At 38.3% G+C, this 25,708-nt stretch overlaps 1 long non-coding RNA gene and 2 pseudogenes across 1 annotated transcript, besides 2 other annotated features; 2 read left to right on the forward strand and 1 right to left on the reverse strand.

Annotated features, from left to right (window-relative positions):
* Positions 1-1,580: 1,580 nt before the first annotated feature.
* Positions 1,581-12,139, forward strand: LOC105375162 (uncharacterized). The gene is made up of 3 exons (XR_927051.3): positions 1,581-1,786; positions 8,524-8,925; positions 11,810-12,139. It is a non-coding gene; the product is annotated as an uncharacterized LOC105375162 (long non-coding RNA).
* Positions 2,365-2,565: a silencer, noted in NCBI's record as "peak6401 fragment used in MPRA reporter construct". NCBI's record gives its function as "represses an SCP1 promoter by STARR-seq MPRAs in K562 erythroleukemia cells {active_cell/tissue: K562}" and the evidence as "EXISTENCE:reporter gene assay evidence [ECO:0000049][PMID:32103011]".
* Positions 3,463-4,493, forward strand: LOC100423044 (solute carrier family 34 member 2 pseudogene; annotated as a pseudogene).
* Positions 15,684-16,185: an enhancer, noted in NCBI's record as "NANOG hESC enhancer chr7:14104855-14105356 (GRCh37/hg19 assembly coordinates)". NCBI's record gives its function as "activates a minimal SCP1, AML or CMV promoter by ChIP-STARR-seq in primed H9 embryonic stem cells {active_cell/tissue: H9 hESC(primed)}" and the evidence as "EXISTENCE:reporter gene assay evidence [ECO:0000049][PMID:30033119]".
* On the reverse strand, positions 20,955-21,853 carry RPL6P21 (ribosomal protein L6 pseudogene 21; annotated as a pseudogene).

Below are 25,708 nucleotides of genomic sequence, written 5' to 3' on the forward strand. Positions count from 1 at the left end.
GAGGGAAACTCAGCCAAGCTTCTCCACACTTTGGGGAAGTGATTGTGAGTACACATGCCCAGGAAGCCAGGAATTTTGAGGTTTACTCCGTGATAGTTCCAAGTCAATTCAAGGCAGTCGAGTGTAAGCATTCGTGGGTCCTTACTCTCATACTGAACCATGAACTCAGTTTAGCAACTCCAGTGAGGTCTTGCTCTTCCTTCTCCCATTCAGTTATATAATATATACAGAACATACTTTCTGTTTTGCCTAGTTTCTATTTGCATATACTTTCTGCTTAAATGTAACTCTTGTCTGCCCTGTACCCCACACAACCACACTCCTGTCTCTGTTCATCATAAACTTTTGGCTTCAGTTTCCACTACTGTTTGCTTTTCTCTGTCTACTATATGAAGATTATAAGAGATAGTATCTTCCTTCGCAAATATGTTTACAATTTAGGTAATTGACCAGACTAAGAACTGACTGTCTTCAGACAAACTCCTAGGACACCGTCTACGACCATGGCAGTACTGTCCTATAGCACAGAATGGTTTCCTGAGGACTACTTGTTTAGTAGAGGCTATAAACAGGGCATGGTACTTAGAAAGAGTCATAGGAAAATTATGACATCAAGACTGTTGTGTTCAGTAAGACCTAAATGTATAAAAAATATCACAATTATTCTAGAAAGCTCACACTTATGACAACACATGCTTGATTGGTCAGTCGCTGAGCACATTAAGTAAGCATTTTTAATCTCCATATACTGTTCTAGGCACTATATCATGGTTGCAAACAAACAAGTTCCTTGTTTGTGACACTTAATGCTGAAGGACAAGATGGACAATAAACTAGTAAATTAAAAGAAATTCTGAAAGCAATAAATGTTATGTAGAGAATTAAGGTATCAGGTACTATTTTAGAGTAGGAAAGAACATCCCTCTGAGATGAGTATTAAGCTGAGATGTGCATGATAAAATGTTATCAGCCAGGTGAGTGTTGAGGGGATAACATTGCAGGCCAGTGGAATACATTTGGTAAGTTCGAAGATAATTGATAAAATTTTGGTTGGGGCATACTGGTTGAGGTGGTGAGTAATATGCCATGAGACCAAAGAGACACTCTGAAGTGAGAATCTTCAAGCTGTAACCATCCAAGTGAGAAAAGAGAGTGGCCTAGACTAGGAGGTGTTAGTGGAGATAGCAAAAGGAAAGGACCTAGGATTGTTTTAGAAGTTGAGTTGATAGGACTTGCCTGATGTGCTGTATGTGAGTTATATGTTAAAAAAAGGACATGGACACATAGTAGGGAAAAACACACACTGGGGCTTGTTTGAGGGTGGGGCGTGTGAAGAGAGAGAGGATCAGGAAGAATAGTTGGTGGATGCTGGGCTGAATACCTGGATGATGGGATGATCTGTGCAGCAAATCACCAAGGCGTATGTTTACCTAAGTAACAAACCAGCACATCTTGCACATGTATCCCTGAACTCAAAATAATTGGTTTGAAGAACTGAATGTATTGTAATATTATTTATTGAGTTAGAAAGACTGAAAAGTATGAAGTTTGGTTGTGTCTAGATATTGCTTATTGATTCTCAGAAATTTTACTCTTAAATTGTCCTCTGTATTGCAGTGACAGAAAGCCTGGAATCTACCTTTCTTAGACTCACTTACTAGCAGTTACTGGTTTAGGTTTTGCCAGTGAGAAACTCGTGTGTGAGACTTGGAAGGTGAACAAGAAGAAGAAGCCATTGATCTTCAGTGGGAGCTGCAGGCAGCTATATGGGCATTGGAGATGGCAGGTATGGAATTTTCCCCAGTGGCTTTAAGATGTCCTCCTGATAATCACTTCCCTGAGTGCTGCAAGTAGCTGAGACTATTAACAGTGGTTTCTGTGTTTTCTGAATATCCTGATTTCCTGTCTCTTGCTGTGGCTTCCCCAGTCTTGCCAATGGTTGTACAACAGTCCCCCCGTTATACACAGGGGATATGCTCCACAGCTTCCAGTGGATGCCTGAAACTGTGGATAGTACCAAATCCTGTACATATTATGTTTTTTTTTTCTATATATACATACCTAAGATAAATTTTAATTTACAAATTAGGCACAATAAGAGACTAACAATGATAACAAAATAGATAAAATAAAACAATGATAACAATATACTCTAATAAAATTATGTGAATGTGGTCTCTCTCAAAATATCTTACTGCATGTAATATTTTTGGACTGTGGTTAAACATCAGGTAACTGAACTTAGGAATGTGAAACCATGGATAAGGGAGGAATACTGAATAATTCTCTAGTTCTCTGAGTTAAGTCATTTCTTCTATAAAATGCTTAGCATGGTTAATATTCTCCTCAACAAACTGACTGATATTGAGAGAATAATCAATAGTTCTGCTTTCTGGACTTCTAGAGGGAGAGATGTGAGCTGGAGATAAGGATTTTGGAGTCACTGGTGTTTATATAATAAACATGGGACTAACTGAGGTTTCTTTACAGATAAGAGAAACGGAAATGGGTGCCAGGCGTGGTGGCTCAGGGTGTGGTGGCTCACTCCTGTAATCCCAGCACCTTGGGAGGCCGAGGTCAGGAGGGCAGATCACCTGAGGTCAGGAGTTCGAGACCAGCCTGGCCAACATGGTGAAACCCTGTCTTTACTAAAATACAAAAAAAAATTTAGCTGGGAATGGTGGCACGTGCATGTAATCCCAGCTACCCAGTAGTTTAGGCAGGAGAATAGCTGGAACCCAGGAGACAGAGGCTGTAGTGACCCGAGATTGCGCCACTGCACTCCAGCCTGGGCGACAGAGTGAGACTCCATCTCAAAAACAAACAAACAAATGATAAAGAGAAATGGGGCAGAGGGGAGTCCAGGGAATATAAACCTTTTGAAGTCGAGTAAAAGACAAGTCAGAAAAGAATACCAAACAGGAGAGATCAGTGAATCTGAAGGAAATTCAGGTGGACATGGTATTATAAATGCCAAAAGAAGAAAGTATTTCAGCAAGAAGGTGTTGTAGGCCTTTCTCCTTAGTTCAGCTAAGAGATGGGTTCTTGTCACACGGCCATGAAATATTAGGCTCGCAGACACTTTAAAGGGTGAGAAAAATAAAACTTACTGGGTGAAAAGGGAAAAAAAGGGGAAACAGGGACTCAGCAGAGTGAGAGTCCTGCTAGTATAGGCTTCTCGCCTGGCAGACTGAATCCCAGATTCGACCCAGGAAGATGAGGGATCCGCTACCCACCCCTGCAAACACATGAACTTCCCCAGGCTCCATCCCAGTGTCCACTCCTCCCAGTGTGCAGGCCGGTCACAGGCTCTCCGGGGACCTCTTCATACTCGGCTGTTTCAAAGGGAGGTCACTGAAGGCTAGATGGGTTAGGGAAGGTTTTGCTGAAGAAAAGAGGCCTTTGCAGATGGAGGAGGAGTGTAGGGAATGGGTAGCGTAGTATTCAGGGGAGATGGTTTATCTGCCGAAAGGGCCCCAGGTTCTTAATTTAGCTAATTTTGAAATCAAATTAAAGAGCATTATGGCTAAAGTCTACTGCTACTCTCTTGGTCACATAGAAAACCCTCTCTGCTGGATCTTTTGAAATAAAACGTGCAAGTTCTCTAGGCTGCGTAGCCTGTATGTCGTCACCTTGATTTCCAGAGAGCATCTGTGCATGGAATAGTTCTCCACCTCTCTGCCTCCTCCTCACTTTCTGTTCAAGATGATTTCCTGGGTTAACTTCCTTCTTTCCATCCACCCACCCACTGGAATCTTTTTCCAAGCACTTTTCCATTTTCTTGTAGATGGGCTTTGATTTTCTGCCCCCTCTCCATGCCTATAAAGCTCCAAACTTTTCTCAGGGAGAGGCAGCCTGGACCTGACTGGACTGCCCAGTGAACTGGGATCATTGAGTACAATCAAGTGCTCATGGATCATGGATCGTGGATTAAAGGGGTGTGCTCCTTTTCACCCTAGATGCCTTCTCCATGCCTTTCACAGCCCCTTGTCTTATTACACCACTGCCCCCATCATGCTCAGCCATCCCAGTTCTCCCTGGTCAGTGAGCTTCAGCCTTATCTAGGAAAGGGAGAGTGGGGTGCAGCCACGCTGCAAGACCAGGTCTTCCCTTATCCCAGCTTCCCCATCATCCCAGCAGGTCAAAATATCAGACAGCCCTCCCCTGACCTTCCCCCTTGTAGATACCAATTCCCGAACAGAGCCATTTTTACTCTATGTTTATCGTCACACACCTGTACAGCATTTTTCATAAGTTATACAGTAAATGGTCTCAGTGATTTGTGTTTCTAGTGCTCTCATTTGGAACTGAGGCAGGGTGCTATGAAATGTGAGGGGAAAAAAAACACTTTGTATATTTTGTAGTACTATCTCTGTGGCCATGCCTGCCCCGACACATTCTTTAAATATGTGGGTTAAACCAGGGCAGGAGCCGTGGCCATCTTTGTACCAATGATTTTAAAAAATTGAATCCTTGTACTTGCATTGATTGTAATTTCTTTTTTTTTTTTTTTACTTGTTGTGGGAAGAGAGAAATAAAAATAATCAACTTCCCCCCACCGAAAAAAAAAAAAAAGAAAGAAAAGGGGCCTTGACGGGTGAATATATGTTGGATTAGAAAGGAACAATTGTTTAGCTTCTTATTGAAGGTAGCCAGATGAGTGTGAACATGAAAGTAGAAGGGCTAATGCATGTGGGATCTTTGTGGATAGAGTAGTGTGAAAAAGAGAGTGTAAAAGAAACCGAAAGGCAAAGATGATCAGTTGCAGGTGGCCAGGAGAGGCAGCCAAGGAAGTCTGGACTTTTTAAGTAAGTGATGAGAGTCACTAGAGGTTACTGTGTTGGTTATGAGTGGGGCAGGCCATTGAGAAAATAAGGTGAGATAAGCAAAAGGCATTTTGATGGAAGACGTGTAGTAGGCTTTGATGACCTTAAGTATTGACATAAAATAGATGATTTTCACAGTTTTAAGTTGAACTGATTAAGAATAGGATAATATTATTGATAAAAAGGGAAGAGAAGAGGAAACTGATACTGCCTTTTCTTAGAGGTGAGTTAATTTTTTTAAAGAGATGGGCTCTCACTGTGTCTCCCAGGCCAGCGTACAGTGGCATTATCATAATTCACTGCAGCCCCGAACTCTTGGGTTCAAGCTAATTTTTTTTTAAAGTTATTTTTTAGAGACAGGGTTTGGCTATCTAGCTCAGCCTGGTCTTGAACTCCTGGCCTCAAACAATCTTCCCTCAGCCAACTGAGTAGCTTGAGCTACAGGTGCAAGCCACTGTGCTCTGTGACATTTTTAAATATAGTATAATGGTCAAAAATTAAGAGTCATTTAATAAAAATTTTATTTGGAAAGAATTTGGTTTTCTTTGATGCTCTCATCATTAACAACATTTCAAACAAAATCCAAAGTAGAGAGAACAATAAATAAGTCTTTGCGTGTGGCTTTTTTTTTTTTTTTTGAGACGGAGTCTCGCTCTGTCACCCAAGCTGGAGTGCAGTGGTGCAATCTTGGCTCACTGCAAGCTCCGCCTCCTGGGTTCACGCCATTCTCCTGCCTCAGCCTCCCGAGTAGCTGGGATTATAGGCGCGTGCCACCACGCCCAGCTAATTTTTTGTATTTTTTAGTAGAGACGGGGTTTCACCATGTTAGCCAGGATGGTCTCGATCTCCTGACCTCGTGATCCACCCGCCTCGGCCTCCCAAAGTGCTGGGATTACAGGCGTGAGCCACTCCACCCGGCCAATCTTTGTGTTTCTAATATCCACTTCAACAATGATCAACACATGCCGAGTGTTGTTTCACCATTGCCCCACCTACTTCATGTCAATCTCCATATTACCTTGAAGTGAATTCCAGTCATTATATCATTTAATCTGTAAATATTTTATATGTGCCTCTAAAAGAGAACTCTAAAAAAAAAAAACCACATAATATCATACACATCTTAAAAATTGACATTATTCCTTAATGTCATTTAATGTTTGGCCAGACTTCAAATTCCCCTGATATTTTTATAATTTTTTTGTTAGTTTGTTTGAATTAGTATTCAAGTTATGTGGACAATTCTCTTTTAAAAGAATATATAATTTTAACACTCACAAAATAGTAAACATATAACTTACATGTAAGATATGAAGTATAATAATAAAACAAATACTCTGAATCCCAAATCCCAACTCAAACACTAGAATTTATCAATGCTGATAAATCTACCTGTTTTTCCCTCCACTATCCAAACGTTGTACCATTGTATCAAACATTAGCTAGCACTGTTAATGTAAATTTCACCTAGAGCTGCCTCACATATTTTAAGTATAGCCAAAATGTTTCTCTGAACATAGTAAACTAACCTAACTGGATGAAGAAACAGACTGTGGCTAATTCTTATGCCAATCACCAAGTTTTGACCTATCAAAGACAGCCAACTGTTCAAACTGGGTTCAAATAAAGCAAACGTGGAGCTGTAACCAATCTGACTGCTTCCGTACCTCACTTCTGCTTTTTGTACGTCACTTTCCTTTTTCTGTCCATAATGTGGCTACATGGGAGTCTCTCTGAACCTATTCTGGTTGAGGGGCTGACCCATTCGCAAATTGTTCATTGCTCAATTAAAGTCTGTTAAATTTGTTTTGTCTAAGATTTTTCTTTTCACAGCTCTATCCTGACTTTTACATTTATTATTCCCTTGCTCTCTTTTCTTCTTTTTTTAAAAAAAGTTTTACCACACATGTATGTGTTCTTAAACAATATGTTGTTTAGTTTTGCTTGTTTTAAGCTTTAGAAAAATATCATATACTGTGATTTTCTTTTTTTCATTCAACATAATGCTTCTAAAGTTCATCTAAATTGTTTTGTGTAGCTATAGTTAATTTCTATGGCTGTATAATCTTTCAAAGAGTGACTATCATTGTCTACTTACCTGTTCTGTTTGTAAACAGGTTATTTTGTTTGTTTCTAGCTTTTTCCACTATGAAAAAATTTTATGAACAATATGTCTCCTATAATTTGTACAAAAGTTTCTACAGGGTGAACCAAGGATTGGAATTGCTAGGTCACAGATTACTGCCATGTTCAACTTTGCAACGTAATGCCAAATTGTTTCCCAAAGTACTTATACCAATTAACATTTTTACTAGCAGTTCATTAGAATTCTAATTACAGCACATCCTTATCAAATTAAGAATTTTCAGACTTATTAAATGTCGCCCATGTAGTTAGTAAAACAATATCAAGTCTTGGTTTTAAAACGTATTTTTTCTGAGCACTAGTGAGGTTGAACACTTTTTCGTATGATGGTCATTTAACTCTCTCACTTCTGTAAAACGACTGACGTTCTATGTTTGGCTTCTTTATGGCTTGATTTTTAAAAAGCCTTAATATGCAGGTGTTAATGTTGTCAATAGTAATCCTTTATTATTTACATGGTTTGAAATATTTTCATCTGACTTGTAGCTCCTGTTTTTCTTTTATGGTCTTACTCGATAAAGACAAATTCTTAGTTTTAATGCAATCAAAAGAATAAATTACTTTAGTGTTTGTGATTTTGGGGTCTTGTTAAAAATCCTTTTTATTAATACTTCGTTTGCAAAAATTATATTTTCTTATAAAAATTGTATGGGCTATAACTTTAAACAGGCAACCTCCTTAGACCAAAGTAGTTCCTGGTGAGGGACTGAGGTCTGGGACTTCAGTGACTAAAACCTTTGGTGGTTGAGGAATAATCTTCCTGAAGAGCATCTGGTAGCACACAAGGTTGCTATGATGACTTTGCAAAGTAAGATTAGAAAATTATGCTGGCCGGGCGCAGTGGCTCACACCTGTAATCCCAGCACTTTGGGAGGCCAAGGCGGGTGGGTCATGAGGTCAGGAATTCGAGACCAGCCCGGCCAACATGGTGAAACCCCATCTCTACTAAAAATGCAAAATTAGCTGGGCGCGGTGGTGGGCGCCTATAATCCCAGCTACTTGGGAGGCTGAGGCAGGTGAATCAGTTGAACCCAGGAGGCGGAGTTTGCAGTGAGCCGAGATCACACCACTGCACTCTAGCCTGGGCGACAGAGTGAGACTCCATCTCAAAAAAAAAAATTATGCTAATTGTTATGTCTCCAATAATAACACAAAGTCAGCAACATAGTAGGCATCCAATAAATATTTGTTGTGAGTGTGAATGTATCGTGAAGTTCACACAGTGGAAAAATATTTCCATTCCCCCTAAGTTACTTTTAGGCATGCGTTAAACAATTCAATACAGCACACTGAATAGGCTTTAAGGAAGTCTAAGTTTTGATCATCTTAGTTGATAATTGTTGTTGTACTTGATAACACTCTGGTTGCATGTGATCGAAGTTCAAATGGAAATAGCTTAAGAAACAGACAGTAATTTATTTCTATTTAGAATAAAATAAAAGTCTAATAGACATTTCAGGTATCGTTGGTTCTATGGACTGAAATGAGTTCAAAATGACTCTCTTACTTTACTTATTAGTTCTTTCTTTATATTGACTTCTTTCTTATTCAGGCCCTCCCTACACAGAAAAAAAGATGGCAATCAGCAGCTCAAACTCAGATCCTACTATGATGGCAATGGCATAAAGATTGAGCTTTGCTCCTAATCACTTTTAAGAAGGTCTAAGTAAGACTTCAAGTGACTTAGCTGTGTCCCATATGCAGCCTTCAGTCATTTGCTGTAACTGGCTGAACAGAATACTCTGACTAGGCCTGACTCACGAGTCTCCCCAGGAAGCACAGAGAGCAGGTATCCACTTCCCTGCAACTGCATAGCCTGAATGGCACTGCTTCCACCGAATCTCAACCCTGTGAACTAAATTGCATGGTGTCCACTTCACCCCAGCCACAAAGACTGAATACCTTTATGTCCACCTTACTCCAACCATATGGACGGAACAGGAATCTTATGAGGGTAGGACGGTTTCTTAAACTTATGGTAGAAAGATATGTATAAATATTTATGTACCTGTATTTTTTCAGTTTTAAAACTTTTATTTTGTATAATAGAGGAAACAAATCTTTCTTGCAAAAAGAAAATAAATAATATCATGTCCTTGCAGAATTTAAAAATTGTTAGGCCCATTCAAAATAATATACTAAGTATAACACCTCTTTCAAATTAGGCTCCTTAGTTTAAAAAATTAAATCTGCTCCAAAATAATAATATATCAGTTATATATAAAGTTATAAAGTTTATCATTTATTTTGTATTTTAAACTATTTTAAACTATGACTCAATAGCTATTTATTTGCACGTACTTAAAAATTAAGTATAATAAACACAACTTCAAATATAAATGAAGACTTTCCCTGGCAGCATTGTCATATCAAGAAATCCAGATGGACAAAGTTGTATCCATTTGGAAGGATTTGAGCCTCCAGACTAGTCTAGAAGTAAGGATCCTTTAGGCAATAAGTATCTTATTTCTACTTTCTAAGTCGATTTTTGAGAAATTATCAATAGCTTTTAAAGATGATTGTCTCTCCTCCCTGCCCAACTTATTCACTCACTCAGCCTACATTGCACCTTGTGAACTCCACTGAGTTGACTTTTAACTTTATCATTATATTAAACAGTCATGAGATTTAGGTTTGAGGCCTTTTTCCTTTTTAATGAAATGATATGATAATGATTAAAATTTATCATTATGGTAATCATCATCAAGATAATGATAAATCTTGAAATATTTAATCTTCAGTAATTTCATCAGGCCATGAATGTTATTTTGCTTAATAGATGGCTATGTCAATTAATGTATATAGAACACAATACTTGTCTGAGACATTTCTTCTTCTTTATATGTGAAATTGACATAGCTGAGGTAGTTTTTGCCATGTTGTTTATTATTTTTTCATGTGGCACCCAAGCTTATATCACTATACAGTCTATACTGAGAAGCCATGGTTAAGGTTATTCTACAGTTGCTAATGAAGTTCTGTTTCAGAATTTGTGATATGTTGGACATGTACGGTTGGGTAGAATTTTCTTTTTATTCTCCAAGGGAAACAAAAGGACTTGCCAAACAAGTGAACATTATGCATTATGTTACAGAGGAAAATATTCTCTTAAGAAAAGCAGAAGCTTTCAACTTTTGATGAATTTTCCATGAATCTAAATTACATCTTCACTATAAACCACATAATTTTAGTCTTTGACAGGTACTGTTCAGCTCATATTGGTATTTTGCCAAACTAATTTTAAATTATTTTCTACCCAGTAAGGTAAAATATCTGTTTTTTGGTTATGCTTGTTGAATGTAAAAAAATATCTTTTAAAAACAGTCAAATATTCAGGTTGTATGGTAGTTTGAGTAGGCTTTCTCCAATTAATTTCATTTCACAGGATTTTTTTGGACTACTTAATTCTTTTGTGGGTAGAAGGAGATGGCAGAAAAGAAGTGATACACTGAGGAGGGTAATTATCAGAGGTTTTCGGGAAGTATTTTTACCTAAGACAACCAAATTTTTTTTAATCAAGTGATAAGATATGAGAATGGGAAGCATATGTGTAATTTTTCTAGACATTTGATTTCCCTCCACATGATTATGCAGAGCACCTAAGAAATCGATGACCTGTGATTCCTTCTTTTGAAAATTACCTCCTACTCTCATGCATATGGTAATAGGGGAGGCAGGAGAAGTTTGGCAGAGTGTCTGTGCCTCTTCTCATAGTTTCTCAATCCAAAGGTGGGTCTTGGACTTAAGTCTGGTTGTTCAGAATCCTGTCTCAGGATTTTTGGAATGGGAAACCAAATATAATATAATATAATATAATATAATATAATATAATATAATATAATATAATATATATTTAATATGTATTAAATATATATATATACTCCAATCACTCTCTCAGGCCATGGCCTCTTGCAATAAGGAACTATCCATCTATGACTCCTGCTGTAGAGGGTTTCCTGGGAGCATGTTTTTTATTATGTGACTCAGCTCCAGGTACAGAACCAATTAGACTAGGAATGGGCCCCAGAACAGTTCATGTATATGCTTAATGAGGCTGGCACAAAACAATAAAGTTTGTTAAAAAGACTCTCTTTCAAGAACTTAGGATATTAACTACTGATAGAAAGCGTCATTTAGAAATGACTTAGGATATTAACTACTGATAGAAAGCGTCATTTAGAAATGGAAGTTGAACTGAAATGTCTCATACAGAGAAGAGTTAGAGAGGTCATGATGGTCATGTACAAGGTAAAATTATATAGAGCCTAGGTGCGGTGGCTCACATCTGTAATCCCAGCACTTTGGGAGGCTGAGGTGGGTGGATCACCTAAGTTTGGGAGTTCGAGACCAGCCTGACCAACATGGAGAAACCCTGTCTCTACTAAAAATACAAAATTAGCTGGGCGTGGTGGTACATGCCTGTAATCCCAGCTACTTGGGAGGCTGAAGCAGGAGAATCGCTTGAACCCAGGAGTTGAAGGTTGCGGTGAGCCAAGATGGCGCCACTTCACTCCAGCCTGGGTGACAAGAGTGAAACTCCATTTCAAAAAATAAAATAAAATAATAAAATAAAATAATATAGAAGGAAGCCAACAATGGGGCCAGAAGGGTAGACTGAGAATTATATTGAGAAAAAATTTTCAGTCCAGAGAGAGAAACAAAACAAACAAAAAAACTGGTTTCTAAGTACAGACTTCATTCCTTATGATTTTTTAGTGTCAGTTATTCCATTCTCATCTGTGCAATAATTGTCACTTTATTGTCCCTCAGCTTTAAATTCACCCTGTAGTACCTGCACTGCAATAATGGATTGATCTCCAAACATTTCTCTGTTACAGTGAACACATGTTAAGTACTGTCAGTAGAGGATGCAGGAGAGACATTGAGAGAGGATGAAGGATTCTTCTAATTCTGTACACCTGCCAAAGTCTCACCTCAGCTGCCTGCCTAGAAAGGCTGCTTCCCATGACCCTCTCTACCTGAAGACCACATGTTCTAATTCTCATGCAAAAGCCCCATCCTCACTCCCTCTTTATACATTCACTTATGAACTGTGGCTCTCTGCCACCTCATTTCCTGCTTGCCCAGCGACCATGGACCAGCTCTGATCTGAGTGTCCTAGGAAACTTCTCTGGAGGTTGCAACTACACCTTCTCCAACAAGACCTGAACCCCACCTTGGAATCCCCACTTCAACCTTGTCCTTCATTGCATCATTTCCCTGAGCCCTAGGCTAACCAGCAGAGTTCTCTTTACATCCTTATATTTACTTCCCTGCCATATTTAATAATTCTTTACATTAAAAAGTTCCTGTTCAAATTACTATGATTTCTTTTTCCTGATTGAATTTAGATGGATATATCCTCTTCATAATAAATTCCATTTCTCTTGGACTAATTTGAATGAATGTCTGTTTCTTTTGATCACGAAAACTGGCTACAAATAGGCAGGACACAACAACTGAGTTTCCTCTGTTTGAGATTCTTGCCCTTGTCCTTTGACTCTCACAGAATTTTATGAAATTGACCTCAGTGCCTACAACTGACTGCACATGACAAAATGCAGAACACTTAGATTTGATGAACACAAGGCTTGACATATTTGTCAATAGTACCAGGAATAGTTTTGCATACTATAATATTTAACAGCCACAGGAGAAAGGCAAACCAATATAATTAAGGTTAAATATATGTGGAGTAATTGAATAAGAGAGGCTTAATGTGTCCCTATTTCTATTTTAATTTGTTCAGTCTCATGAATCAATGAGCTAAAGCAAAGATATGTAAAAAGAGTAAATATCTAAACAGGATTTGCTTGAGTTTCCTTAAATGAATTGTTAGCCATGCAGGTTAATTTATCTTTTGAGAAAGCATGTAATTTTGCTGACATACACATATGCTCCGGGGCTGTAAGTCAACACATGGACACAGGTAGGGGAACATCACACATTGGAGCCTGTTGGGAGGTGGGGGGCTAGGGGAGGGATAGCGTTCTGAGAAATATCTAATGTAGACGACGGGTTGATGGGTGCAGCAAACCACCATGGCGCGTGTATACCTAGGTAACAAACCTGCACGCTCTGCACATGTATCCCAGAACTTAAAGTATAATAATAATTAAAAAATGACAACCTGTACTCCACCTAAGGGCAGAAAGGAGTACAATAGGACTGATATGGTTTGGCTGTGTCCCCACCCAAATCTCATCTTGAATTGTAGTTTCCATAATCCCCGCATGTCGTGAAAGATCCAGTGGGAGGTAGTTGAATCATGGGGGTGTTTACCCTCATGCTATTCTAATGATAGTGAGTGAGCTCTCACTAGATCTGATTTTTTTTTTATTACACTGTAAGTTCCAGGGTACATGTGCACAACATGCAGGTTTGTTACATATGTATACATGTGCCATGTTGGTGTGCTGCACCCATTAACTCGTCATTTACATTAGGTATATCTCCTAATGCTACCCCTCCCCCCTCCCCTCACCCCACACAGGCTGAAGCTGGAAACCATCATTCTGAGCAAACTATCTCAGGGATCTGATGGTTTTATAAGGGGCTTTTCCCCCTTTTGCTTGGCACTTCTTCCTGCCTCCATGTGAAGAAAGACGTGTTTGCTTCTCCTTCTGCCATGATAAGTTTCCTGAGGCCTTCCCAGCAAAAAAAAAAAAAAAAAATTTCTTTCATTAACAAAAAAAAAAAAAAAAAAAAAATCTCAGAATATCTTCACTGGTTATTCAGTGATTCGTTTCTCTAGGATGAGTGCCCAAAACATTTCTGCAGAATTAGATTCATAGATATTAGTCCACTGTGGCATGGAAAACTTTACAAAATGGAGAATAGAAGTGAAGCTTTTCTCCATGTTAATGTGCTTAGTCATTAATTACATAGCTAATAGGCTAAACATTTGCTGTACAATTTTTTTTGGTAAACATTGATACAAAAGTATAGAATAGAATTTGGAAAAAGATTTAAAGGATACAACATGGTAATTTATGGGATTTTTAAATACAATACGTATTTTAAAATGATGTATACCAACAAGAGAGAATTAAAAGTAGTCTGGCAATCAATAATTATGCGATAATACTGGAAAAAGCAAAGTACAATGGCTTCCAGTATAGCTGACTCTTTAATTACAGCTAAAAGATCTTATAGAATTTGAAAAAATGAAGAGCATCTCTGCTTAGAAAAGCTGATTAAACATTATAGTATGTAATCAATATCGCATTCATAGAACATAAAAATTAGTGCCTAAATATTAACTTCCTCAAAGAAAATTATGGCTAGATCATGCCATATTAGAGAGTGACTGAAAGGAGACATTAAAAAATGTCTGTCTGAATAATTTACTCTTTCATAGTTGAAAAGTATAAAATTAGATTAAAATAGCAAATCAAATGTTTGGGAAAAACTTTTAAAATGCTTTAAAATACATTTTTGAAATAGCACTCAACTGAAATCTATGTTTCTAATACCTAGAGTTGAAAATAATAAAGGCTGCCGGGTGCGGTGGCTCATGCCTGTAATCCCAGCACTTTGGGAGGCCAAGGTGGGCGGATGACCTGAAGTCAGGAGTTCGAGACCAGCCTGGCCAACATGGTGAAACTCTGTCTCTACTAAACATACAGAAATTAGCTGGGCATGGTGGTGGACTGTAATCCCAGCTACTCGGGAGGCTGAAGCAGGAAAATCGCTTGAACCTGGGAGGCGGAGGTTGCAGTGAGCCGAGATCACTCCATTGCACTTCAGCATGGGAGACAAGAGTGAAACTCCGTCTCAAAAAAATAAAAAGAAAAAGAAAATAATAAAGGCATGAGTGTTTTTGGTGAGGAGAGATGAAGAACCAATTTCGATACCACAGGAGTGCTTTCTCCTGAATTAAGTAAATAAATAGTATTTAACTATTTACCTTATAGAGAGTAATGAATTTCTAAAGCAAGTATCTGTGTTCTAAAGAACATGTTTTTATGCAATATTTTGTGGGTGTTCTCCTTAACTTAAACATTTTATTTACAAGTAGAATTATCTACTTAGAGTATAAGTCAGAAGTGTTCAGATATTTTAAAAGAGTTTAATAAAATTGAAGTGAAAAGATTGTAAGAAAACACCCTCAAAATTAAGTATTATAGATTGCTAGTGAAAATACTTAAATGTGAAAAAAGAAAAGATTCCAGGAGAAAATATTTAATAACTAACTCAGGCCCTACATAAAAGGAATTCATGAAAAGAACACAGTGAAAATATATACAGAAAAGTAAAGTTCTCATGCCTTTTTAAAAAGATAATTGAATGTCTGGTGAATATAGTTCAAGAGCTGATAGGTGACATTTGATAAAAAGATTTCAACTATTCCTTAGAAATGCTGAGCCAAAATTTGAAATATTTTGTAGGTGAGTCCACATGTTGTCTATTCCTACTCTTTTTAAAAAACTTTAAAATCCTGTTATCTCCATAGGATTATGGAATGATAAGATCAAGTGTTGATAAAGAATACAGTGCCACTCAGCTCCATATCTTATTACCTGAGGTGAACTTGGACAATTTCCTTAGCTCTCTGTGCCTCAGTTTCCATCTGTAATAGAAAAAAATAATACTTAACCTCATAGAGTTGCATGAGAATTACATAAGTACATATAAAATATTTAGAATAATATTGAACACATAATAACCACTCAATAATATTATAACATAATCTGGTTATTTAGTGTCTTTTCAACAGTATTTGTTTTCATATATACATGACATTTATCACTGAAGAGCATAATTGTTAATTTTATATATGAGCCTACTCCTTGCTTCCAGAATAATCTCATTTAAATTCTTTTTTTTTTTTTAATTCTACTTCATTGCTCAAGAACTTCTAACGATTCCCCAGTGCCTAAGCCATCAGAGGTAAGTTACATCTGGATTTTAAAACCCTCCGTAATTGAAACCAATCTTACTTATTTAAGTTCCTTTCCTGTTTACCCAGCATGATAGCCCATTTGTTTCACTTTAGATTTCCCACTGTTTCCTAACGTGCTATGCCTTTGCCTTTGTTCATCTATCCCGCCGGCCTAAAACAGGGTTTCTCCTTTCCAGTCTTTCAGAGACAATTACAAAATATTTCATTTCATCAAGCTATTTTTGTGCTGGAGTTGCCTTCCTCCTCATTCTTTTTTTTTTTGAGACAGAATCTCTCTATCCCCCAGGCTAGAGTGCAGTGGCACGATCTCCACTCACTGCAACCTCCACCTCCGGGTTCAAGCAATTCTCCTGCTTCAGCCTCCTGTGTAGCTGGGATTACAGGCATGCGCCACCATGCCAGGCTAATTTTTGTATTTTTAGTAGAGACGGGGTTTCACCATGTTGGTCAGGCTGGTCTCAAACTCCTGACCTGGCGATCCACCCGCCTCAGCCTCCCAAAGTGCTGGGATTACAGGCGTGAGCCATGGCGCCCAGCCCCTCTTCATTTTTTAATCAGCAATATTTATTAAGTACCAAATCATTGCAAGACTCAGGTAGGTGTAGCAGAGAGTCAGTGGGCATGGTCCCTGACCTTGTTAACGTTACAGACTTTGAGGTGAACAATGAAATAAGCAACTAGGCCATAATCGATCTGCCTAGATTGTTCTTCCCCAAACTCTTCACAAGGCCAGTTCCTTCTCATTTGGATCTCAGCTTCAACATCACCTTCTCCAAGATGCTTTTTTTGGCCATCCTCTCTAAAAGCTACCCACAGTCAGTATCTATCATAACACCTGTTGATTAATCTTTGTAGCATTTTACTATTATCTGCAAGTATCTTTCCAGAGATGGATTTACTAGTGAAGTGAAGAGTTGCATTGTCCTCCACCCTGCAGCATTCTTTGACAATAGTGATGTGGTTACTTGGCACTGATACCAGCTATAAGGTGGGACCTGATTGGCACAAACTCATCAGAATAATTTCTCCATCCTTGGCAAATTAAATGGTTCAGTAAAAGGCAGTAACCCAGGGCTAAGTCCTTCCATACAAGAGATGCCCCTAACCACAATTGTATAAATCAGAGTTGCTCTGGAGAGTATGGAATATGCTTACGAAATCTGGAATTGCTACAGCCATTTTGCTGCTCCAAGGGCAATTAGCTTGAGGTAGAAGCTGAAATGTTAAGGAGGATAGAGCCAGGGGACTCCCAGAAAACAGAATCCCAACTTTGATCAAACCTATTTTGAAGCCCACATTCCTATGGAAGTTCTGTCATAAGAAACAATAAACTCCCTGATTTTTAGTCCATTGTTCAATGAAAAATTGTATTAAGACAATTATGGATTCATATGTGTTTATAAAAGAGATGATAATGAGAGACAGGACTTGCTGGATTTCCTAGGCCGAGTAAGAATCCTTAACCCTAGCTGGGAAGATGACCGCTTCCACCTTTAAACACTGGGCTTGCAACTTACCTCACACCCGACCAATCAGATAGTAAAGAGAGCTCAATAAAATGCTAATTAGGCAAAAACAGGAGGTAAAGAAATAGCCAATTATCTATTGCCTGAGAGCACAGCGGGAGGGACAATGATCGGGATATAAACCCAGGCATTCGAGCCGGCAACGGCTACCCTCTTTGGGTCTCCTCCCTTTGTATGGGAGCTCTGTCTTCACTCTGTTAAATCTTGCAACTGCATTCTCTTTTGGTCTGTGTTTGTTAGGGCTGGAGCTGAGCTTTCACTCCGCCCACCACTGCTGTTTGCCGCCATCGTAGACCCGCCTCTGACTTCCATCCCTCCAGATCTGGCAGGGTGTCTGCTGCGCTCCTATTCCAGCCAGGGGCCCATTGCCCCTCCCGATGGGGCTAAAGGCTTGCCATTGTTCCTGCACGGCTAAGTGCTCAGGTTCGTCCTCATCAAGCTGAATCCTAGTCACTGGGTTCCACGGTTCTCTTCCGTGACCCACGGCTTCTAACAGGGCTATAACACTCACCACATGGCCCAAGATTCCATTCCTTGGAATCCGTGAGGCCAAGAACCCCAGGTCAGAGAACACAAGGCTTGCCACCGTATTGGAAGCAGCCCGCTGCCATTTTGGAAGTGGCCTGCCACCATCTTGGGAGCTCTGGGAGCAAGGACCCACCACCCCACCCACCGCCCCCTAACAATAACATTTACAAAGCCACTATTACAATATCAAATTCAAGATATTGGCACTGATATAATCTACCTGTCTTACACAGATTTACCTGTTTTTGCTTATACTCATCTGTAGGTGTTTGTGTGTGTATTCAGTCTGTACAATTTTATCACATAGTGGTTTCATGTATCCACCACAGCTAAGAGAAAGAACACTTCCATCACCACTAGGTTTCTTCCTATTGCTCTTTTATAATCACGTCAACCTCCCTCCCCACAAAAGTTTTCCATCTCTGTCCCTTGCGGACCACTAATCTCTCTTCCATGTTTAACAAACTATGGCACATCCATACTATTGAATACTTCTTAGCAACAAAAAGGAAGGAACTATTGATACATACCAACTTGGATACATCTCCAGGGAATTATTGAATTTAAAAAAGAACTCCATCTTAAAAGATTACATATTATATTACTCCATTTATATAACATTTTATTTATTTATTTTTGTATTATTTTCTTTGGACCATGTATATAACTTTTTTTTTTTTTTTTTTTTTGAGATGGGGTCTCGCTCTGTTGCCCAGGCTGGAGTGCAGTGGCGCCATCTCGGCTCACTGCAAGCTCCGTCTCCTGGGTTCAAGCAATTCTCTCTCCTGCCTCAGCCTCCCAAGTAGCTGGGACCACAGGCGCCCACCACCATGCCCAGCTAATTTTTTGTATTTTTGTAGAGATGTGGTTTTACCGTGTTAGCCAGGATAGTCTCCATCTCTTGACCTCATGATCCTCCTGCCCCAGCCTCCCAAAGTGCTGGGATTACAGGCATGAGCCACCAAACCCGGCCTATATAACCTTTTAAGATGAAACATTTTAAAAATAGAAAAAAGATTAGTGACATTACATTGTGGTTTGAGTTTATATTTTCCTAATGTCTAATGATATGAACATATTTTCATATGCTTATTACTGAAGGATTTTTATATCTTCATGGGTGATGTATCTCTTTGTATTTTGCCCATTTTCTAATTGGATTATTTGTTTCTTTAACTGTTAAGTTTTGGGAGTAATTTATCTAGTCTAGATACTAGTCTTTTGACAGATATGTGTTTTGAAAATATTCTCTTTCAGGCTTTGGTTTGTTTTTTCATCCTCTTAATAGTATTTTGCAGAGCAAAAGTTTTTAATTTTAATGAGGTTGAATTTATACATTTTTTTCTTTATGGATTGGGCCTTTGGTGTCAAGTCTAATAATAATTCATTGCCTACTCCTGGACTGTAAAAATCTTTATATGTATGTATATATAAAATTATATATATATAAAAAATATATAAAATTATAGTTACGTTTATAGAGTAAGCCTTAATGTTGAGTAGACTGACTCCTCTTGCATTATTCTCTTTTCTTCTGTTTTTCTTTCTTTCCTTCTTTGTCAAAATTGCATAAGCTATTGTAGGTCCTTTGGAATTACATTAAGTCTATAAACCAATTTGAAGAAAATTCCAACCCAATTCATGCAAGGTATGCTTCTCCATTTACTTAGATATTCATTCATTTCTTTTGTCAATATCTTAAAATTTATAGCATGTAGGCCGGGCACGGTGGCTCATGCCTGTAATCCCAGCACTTTGGGGGGCCGAGGCAGGCAGATCACGAGGTCAGGAGATCGAGACCGTCCTAGCCAACATGGTGAAACTCCGTCTCTACACTAAATACAAAAATTAGCTGAGCGTTGTGATGCGTGCCTGTAATCCCAGCTACTCGGGAGGCTAGGGCAGGAGAACCGCTTGAACTAGGGAGTCGAAGGTTGTAGTGAGCCAAGATCGCGCCACTGCACTCCAACCTGGCAACAGAGCAAGACTCCGTCTAAAAAAAAAAATTATAGCATGTGGATTCTGTATATTTTTGGTTAAGTATAGACCTAAGTATTTCATTTTCTTTGGAGTGATCATAAATGATACTGTGTTTTTAATTTCCGTTTCAGAATGTTCATCATTAGTGTATAAATACATGATTCATTTTTGTGACTTGATCTTTTATTGTACCACATTGTTCAACTTTAGGAGCAGTTTCTTACTTTATAAGCTGTATCCCTTTTATTTCTTTATCTTGCACTATCGCAGTAATTAAAGTTTCCAGTAATATGTTCAATAAGAGTAATGAGAGTAGATATTCTTGTCTTCTTCCTGATCTTAAAGAGAAAGTGTATTATAGTCTTCAACCATTAAGTAAAATGTTGACTGTAGGGTTTTTACAGTTGCTCTTCAGCAAACTGTGGTACTTCTCTATCTCTCATTTGCTGAACGTTCCTTTTTTTATAAATCATGAATCAATTTTGGATTTTGTTATTTTTGTGGGCCACTTAAAATGCTCATATGTTTTTTTTTAGCTTATTGACATGATTGTGATATGGTTTGACTGTGTCTCCACCTAAGTATCATCTTAAATTGTAGTTTCCATTATCTCCAGGTGTTGTGGGAAGGAACCAGGGTGAGGTAATTGAATCATAGGGACAATTACCCCCATGCTGTTCTTGTGATAGTGAGTGAGTTCTCACGAGATCTGGTCGTTTTATAAGAGGCACTCCTCTCTTTCCCGCTGCGGTGTGAAGAAGGATGTGTTTGCTTCCCCTTCTGCCATGACTGACTGTAGGTTTCCTGAGGCCTCCCCAACCCTGCGGGACTGTGAGTCAGTTAAACCTTTTTCCTTTATAAATTACCCAGCCTCAGGTGTTTCTTCATTCAGTGGATTACACTGAATGATATTCAAATGTTTAATCAGTCTTAACATACTTGGAATTAATGTTATTTGGTAATGCAGGAAAGTTCTTTTTATGCATATTGTTAAATTGGGTTTACTAATATTTTTGTTGATGGTTTTTCATGTAAATTCTTTGTTGTTATCAATTATGTAATTTGGTTCTTAAGAAATTTAGAACACCAATTTGTGAGGATAAATTCCATTTGTCAGTGCAAACACAGATGCAGGTGGTCCTGGAGCTGAGGAATAGCTTTGATTTTGGGGAAAATTAGTGAGTCCACAGTTTTCTGATCAATCTTGTGCTGCCCTGTAATCTTGTATTTGTTTTTTCTGTGTTGAAGATCTCACCTTCCTGGTGTGTGGGCTTCCATAGCCGCTTCTTCTTGAAATGTCAGTAAGATGTTTTGGGATTTTTACATTACTGATATTAATTTTGGTTGAGATGGCAATGACAAATTTCTGGTGTGTTCTTTGTAGAGGAACTCAATTGAGGGCCAGAGATCCAGTCACAACTAACAAGCCACTAGCCACCTGCTTCAGGAAAACCACCCTCTTGCCTCTGTAGCACTCAGTGAGAATGATCAGAATGGCCCCGGGGGTGACTGTGGCTCGTAGTTTTCTCAAGTGCTGACTGAAGGGTTTTTGGCTGTGGCTCAACAGCTTTCGAGGCACATCTCCAGTAGAATAATATCTAGGGATTTTGCGAAGTTTAACTATCTGGGCACCACCCTGCTTGTCACCACACACCTTTCCTTCATTTTTTTTTTTTTTTTTCAACTTTGGATTTAGCGGCTAAGTACTTCCTCTTGTGCATGGCCCTTCTGCAATATGTAGCAGATTGGGAACATCTGCCAGTTCCTCAGACAAGGACAGGATTTCAGCTGCAATGAAGCTTCCCTTTCGTGGGCTTTTTAGCTTTGAGGTCATGTCACCCTTTTTCACCCTGTCACCATCAGCCCTCTTGGCTTTGAGTTTCTTCTCTTTAGTATCCAGTTTATCAGCTTTTTCATCTGCCATCTTGCAAGATGGGAAAGAGTCATGTAAATTCTTGAGAGATACTGGCCGGTAATTTTTTTTGTACTTCCTTTGGTTTTGGTAAAATAAATTAGAAAGTGTCCCTTCTTTTTCTAATTCTGAAATAAGTAGTGTAAAATTTGCAAAAGTGATGTTAATTCTTCTTTAAATGTTTGGTTGAATTCACCAACAAAACCAGCTAGAGCTAGAGATTTCCTTTTTGCGTCCTTTCAAAATATGAATCAAATTTCTTTAATAGCTATAGGAATATTTATAACATTTATTTCACCTTGGGTCAGTTTAGGTAGTTTGTGGCTTTTGAGGAATTTGTTACATTACGTTATCAAATTTATGTATGTAAAATTGTCTGTTATACTTTCTCATTATTTTATTATTATTATTATTTTTTTGAGACAGAGTCTCGCTCGTCGCCCAGGCTGGAGTGCAATGGCAGGTTCACTCCATTCTCCTGCCTCAGCCTCCAGAGTAGCTGCGACTACAGGCGCCTGCCACCACGCCCGGCTAATTTTTTTGTAATTTTAGTAGAGATGGGGTTTCACCATGTTAGCCAGGATGGTCTCTATCTCTTGACCTCATGATCCGCCCGTCTCAGCCTCCCAAAGTGCTGGGATTACAGGCGTGAGCCACCGTGCCCGGCCTCATTATTCTTTCAATGGCTATAGAATCTGTGATGATATCCCCTATTTAATTCCTGATATTGATGATTTGTGTTTGTTTTATTCTTGTCAGTTTTGCAGAGGTTTGTCAATTTTGTTAATTTTTTTGGAAGAAACAGCTTTTGTTTAATTGATTGTCCCTATTGTTCTCCAATTTTTAAATTTTATTGACTTCTGCCCTTTATGATTTTCTTCCTTCCATCTTTTTATGGGCTTTTTGGTGGTTTGTTGTTTGCTTTCCATGTATTTAGACATTTTCCTGTTGTATTTCTGTTATTGATTTCTAACTAGACTCATTATAGTCAGAGAACACACTGTATGATTTAAATTCTTTAAATTTTCTTAAGGTTTATTTTCTGGTCAGGGTATGACTTATCTTGGTAAATTTTCCATGGTTACATTTAAAAAAATGTACATTATGCTGTTGTTGGGTAGAGTGTTCTATGTAAGTTCATCTGTAGCCTTGCTTATTTTCTGTCTAGTTGTACCATTAGTTGCCAAAAGGAGAGATGTGAGGTTCCTGGCAAATTACCCCTTAATTCCTGAAGAAGAAAGTTAACAGTTTCTTTCTTTCAGCACTGGAAAAATATTGTGCCACGTGCTCTGGCCTTCATGGTTACAGATAAGAAATCATCTGAATTGGTATTCCCCTGTAGATAATGTGCTGTCTCTCTGGCTATTTTCAGAAGTTAATGATTTTGTGCTTTAGTGTAGATTTGCTTGGGTTTATTCTGTTTGGGGTTCACAGGACTCCTTAGATCGAAGGTTTGTGTCTTTTGTCAAGTTTGGAGAGTTTTCAGTAATGATTTCTTTAAATACTATTTCAGTCCCATTCTTTTTCTCTCTTCTTATGGGACTCTAATGATATGACTGCTATATATCACAGGCTCCTGAGGCTCTGTTCACATATATTTTGTCTATTTTTCTGCCTTTTATTCAGATTTGGTAAATTCTATTGATTGTCCTCAAGTTCACTTATTTTATCCTCTGTCATCTCCAGTCTTACATTGAACCAAGCCAGCAGTTCTATATTTTCTGTTTGTTTCCACTGGTTCTTTTTATAAGTTCTATTTCTTTTCTGAGTTTTCTGTTTTTATTTATTTCAAGAAAAATCTATAATTGATGTTGAAGTGTTTTTTGATGACTGTGTTAAAGTTTTATGTCAGATAATTCCAACAGCTGCTTTATCTCAGTGTTGGCATTAGTTGATAGTCTTTTTTCATTCAAATTTTTATTTTCCTAATTCTTAGTATGATGGGTGATGTTTTTATTGTATTCTGGAACTGTTATCTATTGTGTTAGGAGATTCTGGCTCCTATTTGAATCTTTTATTTTAGCAGTCAGTCACGCTGTTAAGCTTTAGCGTGCACATCTTAGCCTACTTTTGTGGGCTGCTGTTCTAATAACAGTTTAATTTTATACTTTTTTTGGGTCTTTATGGTTTTTATTTTGGCCTTTGGTTTATCTGGGACTACCGAGGCTCCCACTGCTCCCTGTTCATACTGCTTGAAGGGATGGAAGTGAGAGGGGTTTAGCCAGACTGGGCTGCCTGGTGTTGCTCAATGTGAGAAGAAAGTCTCAGGTCTAGAGGGACAAAGAGGCCTTCCTTTCCTGGCATGTGATGTAGTGGGATACTTCCTGATTGTAACCCTTCACCTCCATGGAAACAAGCTCCCTCATGGGAGGCAGGCAATAACTTTTTGTTCCTTCCACTTCCTCATATGAAACTTCAAGATAATAAAAGAGGCAACTATTCAGAGTCTAATTACATCGAAGGGAAGTCCTGGGATGGCTGATTAAAATTGGTATGCAAAAGGAGGAAACTGATAGTGTGATCACCTGAAGCTTGGTGGAATTTCATAGGAAATTGTGGGACTCATAACCATCTCTCCTCAAATACCCCCTGATGTTAAAAATATCGAGAAAGATATGCTCATCTTATTTGCACCTAGATAAAATACAAGCAAGGAAAAGTTCTAATGAGCTTCCAGTATTAGATGCCAAAATACTCTCTTTTAACATTTATTTTGTAATATAAGAATAAAATTGACATGAAGGTCAGTGCCTTTAGATCCAATCTCCAGTAATACATTGTGTGGTTGAAATGGCCTGGGGTGGAATGGAAACTATTTGAGGTCTATTAGATAAAGAAGCACAGTGTATAGTGCTGCCTAGTCCTGCTCATGAGTCTTTTAGGGCTAACAAAATCAATTTACAGGGATGTGAGGATGCTATTGTAGTAGGGTAAAAACAGTCTGGATAGCATTTGTAATGTATGATTAAAAACCCTTGAATTCTCTCCTATAATGTTGTGATATGATAACATGGGTTGTAGATCTAGTAGAACTGGCAGTTTTCTATTGATGATATTATAATTATTTTAGAACCTAAGAATCAAGCCAAAATCAAATTTACTATAGTCATAAATTGCATGATAATCAGGAATGGTTGATTAACCTCACAAAAATTCAGAGCCCCACATAGACAGTGAATCTTTTGAGCATTGCATGGACTTGAGCAACCTATGACTTATTGCAGACCACTAAAAATGAATGATTTTTACTGCCTGTTTCTTAACCTGAACAATGTCTATTGGCCTTTCTTGACTTTTACAGAAATCACATCCGTCATTTGGAATACTGTTAGATCTGATCCTTAAAATCTTTTAAAGAAGGCCATGTTTAATTGAGGGCTGTAATGCTAGTTATTCTTTTGGATAACATGGTCCTAATGTTGAAATGATACTAGAAGTGTTGGCCACTCATATTTAGCCAACTGGAGTCTTTCATAAAACCCCATAACCACTGCTACTGAACAGTTATCTCTTGTCTTTTGAATTATAAAATGACCAGATGCTCCTCTCTGGTATACTCCTTTTAAAAGATAGTTACTGGCTTATTATTGGGCACCTACACAGACAGCCCGAATAAGTAAATTGTTTAAGGCCATATTAAAGCCCCAGTAAAGCATTGCAAAAAAAGAGGGAGATGCCGAAAGAAGTTTCCACATAAGATGGAATAAAAAGGGCATATGTAAGAGCATCCTACCAGATAATTTACAGGAAAGACTTCTTACATTAGTAAGCAAGTAGCCTTTTTCTTCCTATGACCTACTGTAAGGCTGCTTAAGGATTTGCATGGTACTATTGTTGAACGGGCATATTTTTGAGCAATTGTCTTAGAATGTAAGGCAATTGCCCT

Source organism: Homo sapiens, chromosome 7 (genome assembly GCF_000001405.40).
Source record: "Homo sapiens chromosome 7, GRCh38.p14 Primary Assembly".
Lineage (NCBI taxonomy): Eukaryota > Metazoa > Chordata > Mammalia > Primates > Hominidae > Homo > Homo sapiens.